This window comes from Homo sapiens, chromosome 6 (genome assembly GCF_000001405.40).
Source record: "Homo sapiens chromosome 6, GRCh38.p14 Primary Assembly".
NCBI lineage: Eukaryota > Metazoa > Chordata > Mammalia > Primates > Hominidae > Homo > Homo sapiens.
In genome coordinates, this window is record NC_000006.12 from 95,782,117 (window position 1) to 95,786,341 (window position 4,225).

General features: G+C 33.3%; 1 annotated feature.

The window, feature by feature from the left end:
- Window positions 2,895-3,024: a silencer, noted in NCBI's record as "silent region_17407". NCBI's record gives its function as "represses an Ori minimal core promoter by ATAC-STARR-seq in GM12878 lymphoblastoid cells {active_cell/tissue: GM12878}" and the evidence as "EXISTENCE:reporter gene assay evidence [ECO:0000049][PMID:35858748]".

Here is a 4,225-nt window from a genome sequence, read left to right on the forward strand (position 1 = left end):
TTATTATCTCACTCTTAATTATGCTGTAGGCAGGGTTTATGGGTAATTTTAATTCCTTTTCTTTTTGGGCAACCTGTTTTTATTCTACATGCTGTGATAACCCTGAACAAATATAATTGTTATGTTTATTTTTAATGCCATCAAGAAAGGTTATTAATAAGAAAAAAATCTATTGTAAATGTTTTTCAATCCTTCTAGCCAAGAACCCTCATTAGATTGAAAAGCAGTGGCTAAATCATAGGAAAATTTCCAATGGTCAATATATTTAGAAAAATTTGTTGAAATGATCATTTTACTTCTATGGGCCTGTTTGGAAGTCCCACTATTGATTCAGAAAATACCACTTATGAGAAAATTATGTATCAGTCAACACAATGGTAATTATAGCTTTAGGACTTAATTGAATTTGGTAATCAGTGCTCTCTAATATAATCTACTATTAAAAGTCAATTTATTTTTTATTTATTATGCTCTCTCTTACAGTCTGAGAAATAGCAAATTTTTTGTGTGTACACACACAAACACAAATACACACACTCATATATTCCAAAAGAGATTTTTTTCATGGGATCCCAGTATATCAATCTCTATTGTGTTTGGAGACATTGACATTCACAATTTCAGTGAACATTAGAATAGAAAATACCAATTAACACAATACGCAGTATGATAACTGTGGCTTGTGATCAGGGAATATCAAACCATCTCCTGCAAGTAAAAAATTTACTTTCTTTTCACATCATGATTTTGTATTACTTTTTGAAGCCTCCTAGTTTCACAAATGTGAAGGAAGTAATGAATCACCAGTGGAGTTTATAGTGAAAAGGCAGGCCTTTTATCTATGCAGTCAGATTTTCATGCATGTCATATGCTTATTATTCACCTCAAGACAAGCAGGCAATGGAATGAAAATAAATTTAAAAAGCAAACATGAAATTATTAACTATGTAAGAAACATGTTCCTGTTACATTATATCATTTAATGAGATCTAGCACAACAAGGAACATTTCTTTGCACATGTAATTAATAGGCAGCCAAATTAAATCCACAGTACATTGTACCAATATACTAATGCACACAAAATAAAACCACTGACTCAAGAATAATATAACATTTTCTCAGAATTTTGAAATATGTCTAGAGCTTTTGTTTCAACGGGATTAATTTCATCTCTACTCATGACTATGACCAAACCAAGATACAACAAGATCTTATAAGGACAATGAAGTCAAATAAGAGATACATCCATCCAGTACCTTATTAAGTAAAATACCAAATGTATTCGTCTGTTCTCACACTGCTATAAAGATACTATCTGAGACTGGGTAATTTATGAAGAAACAAGGTTTAATTGACTCACAGTTCTGCTTAACTGGGGAGGCCTCAGAAAATTTACAATCATGGTGGAGGGGGAAGCAGGCACCTTCTTCTCAAAGTGGCAGGAGAGAGAGAAAGGGCAGGGAAAAATGCCACTTTTAAAACCATCAGATCTTGTGAGAACTCCCTCACTGTCATGAGAACAGCATGGGGGAGACCATCCCCATGATCCAATCACCTCCCACCAGGTCCCTCCCTCAACATATGGGGATTATAATTCGAGATGAGATTAGGGTGGGGACACAGAGCCAAACCATAGTCACCAAGGAATAACACCAATGATGTTTTTCTGTTATGTTTTATTTTGAAGGAATAATTGCTTATAAAATCAAGCTAAATATATGCCTCTTATGTTCCTGTCATTCTTCTGGGCTTTACAGAGGACAAGAAGAAATTTAGTTCATAGTCTTTGTCCTCATGGGTACTAAAACCAGTTAAAGAAGAAAAGACATATAATTTTAAAGGTTATATTTAAAACAGATAGATGATTATATATCACATTCAGTATGTTCCATACTCAGTGTTAAATATGTTACAGATAAAAGAATTATTGGAATTATCAGAAATATTAAATTTCAGGAGCTATTAGAAGTAATGAGATTCAAAGGAATAAAATATTGAGAGGAATTAGTGTTCATAGTAATTAAGTGCCTGACCTTGGGTCATATCTCAGATTGAGGTTTTAGTGCTGCTGGATTATGGATGATGAGTTAAGTGATGACTCAGTGAAAAGAACTGAAGAGTTATCAGTATATGCTGGCTAAGTGGGTAAAGCTGGTAAAATGGAGCAGTTTGTTTAATAAAAGCAGAATTTTTTCTCTGTAAGGTTTTGACACTACCTTCTTCAATTTTTTTTCTTTAACCACAAACCATCTCAGAGCTACATTCCCTTTCTAAAGTGAAGTAAGGGATGACAAGTGAGATAATTATGGCTGATGAGAGCAGGAGCTTCTCTTTCAGTATATTACCAGTTGGAAAATTTCCAGTGAAAACCAAAATGGAACCATATTGGCATGTGGTTGATACAGAATTTTAAAAAGCAATCTGAATTTCTGATATCGTCAGTATAAAAGACAGTGAAAAAGAAATGGAATGGAAAAGTAAAATATAGATCAAATACAAAAGTCATGTGGAAATGTAGAAAAAGATGTAAGGATTTCTACAGAGCTGTAATAGACAACGTCTGATGTAAATTAACATTAAGTGTTTACTACTACCTTAAATAAATGACCATAACAAACTTTTGAGGCAAAAAATTCACACAAAGATTAAAATAATAATAATAATAAGTAATAATTTTCCTAAAGTCACGAAACCAAAAAGATTAAAACTAGATTGGAATTCAGCCCATCTATTCCAGCACCTGATTTTTTGGTTTTAAACCCTATACCATCTTTGGTCTCGGGATTGATTTGCAGGAACAACCAGAGGTCTCCAGATGACTTTTATCCTGTTATACGGGTCAGTTCCTGGAGACTTCCTACCATGCATATTATGATCAATATGTGTCATATGTCTTATGTATTTTCAGCCAAGCAAGCAGCAGTACTCATTTGGAAACAACAGTATGGAAAGAGCTAACTTTTAAATGGCGTATCTGGGCAGTTAGTTCCTGCTGTGGTTAGTTGCTGCAGCTGCTGCTTTCTTATTTGTATTCTTTTCTGTTTCAGGACATTTTTTTCTATTTTTACATTTGATGTAGTATTTTCTTTTTAAGGAAATCAAACCAAACAATTTTAAAAACTTTAAATTAATAATTGGCATTAATCCTCAATATTACTATGAAATTGTTTAAAATTCTGATATTTATGTTTTCTTTGGGGCTATGCTATCAAATTGAAAACACGGGAACATATCAAGATCTAGCTCTTAAGGGAAATATTGCAGTAGAATAAATAATGCTTCTTCTGCATAAGCCATTAGAAGAAGAAATTTATTTCAATAATGGATAATAAAAGTTTAAACCACCTCACTTCTGTTTTCTGTCACACAATGCTAAATACTAAATAGATAAGAAATACTAGATACTGAATAATTTAAGGAACACACTTGTCAAATTAGCAAATAGAACCTGAATAGATTGTAAAGAGTTGATGATATGTTTAGCAATTTTCAGATTATCTTCTATAGGCAACTTTGCAGGAGACTGTTACAGAAAGAAGTCAGTTAAATGTAAGCCTGTCCTCAATAATCTAAACATTACACAGAGACATTGTTTTTAAAAATTAGTGCCTACTCACCGTGTACTCCCTTCACAATCCCTTGCTCCATTATGATTTAATTAGCATGGATGTTATTTCATTTTATTTTAATTTTATTGTTTGTAACTACAGGTGGTTCTATTGAGCAGCCAAGGTTGACAACCAGTGTATTCATTAGCTAAGGCTGCCACATCAAAGTACTATAGGCCGGGTGTCTTAAACAACAAAATTTTTTTTTTTTTTTCAAAATTCTTGAGACTAGAGTCTGAGATCCAGGTGTTGGCAGGGTTGGTTTCTTCTGAAGCCTCACCCTGGCTTACAGATGATGACTTTCTGCCTGTGTCCTCACATGACCCTCTTTCTGTGTGTCTGTGTCCTAATCTTCTAATCTTCTCTTCTTATAAGGAGACAAGTCGTATTGCATTAGATTCCTCCCTAAAGACCTCATTTTACCTCTTTAAAGACTCATCTCCAAATATAGTCACATTCTGAGGTAGTGAAGTTAGGACTTCAACATAGGCATTTGGAAGGGACACAATTCGGCCCATAATAACCACTGATTTAGAAAGCAATCAGTTAGCAATGGATAATATATGACTAAAACTTTTAAAACTACAAAGTCATTCTGTTAACCAGATTAATAAAT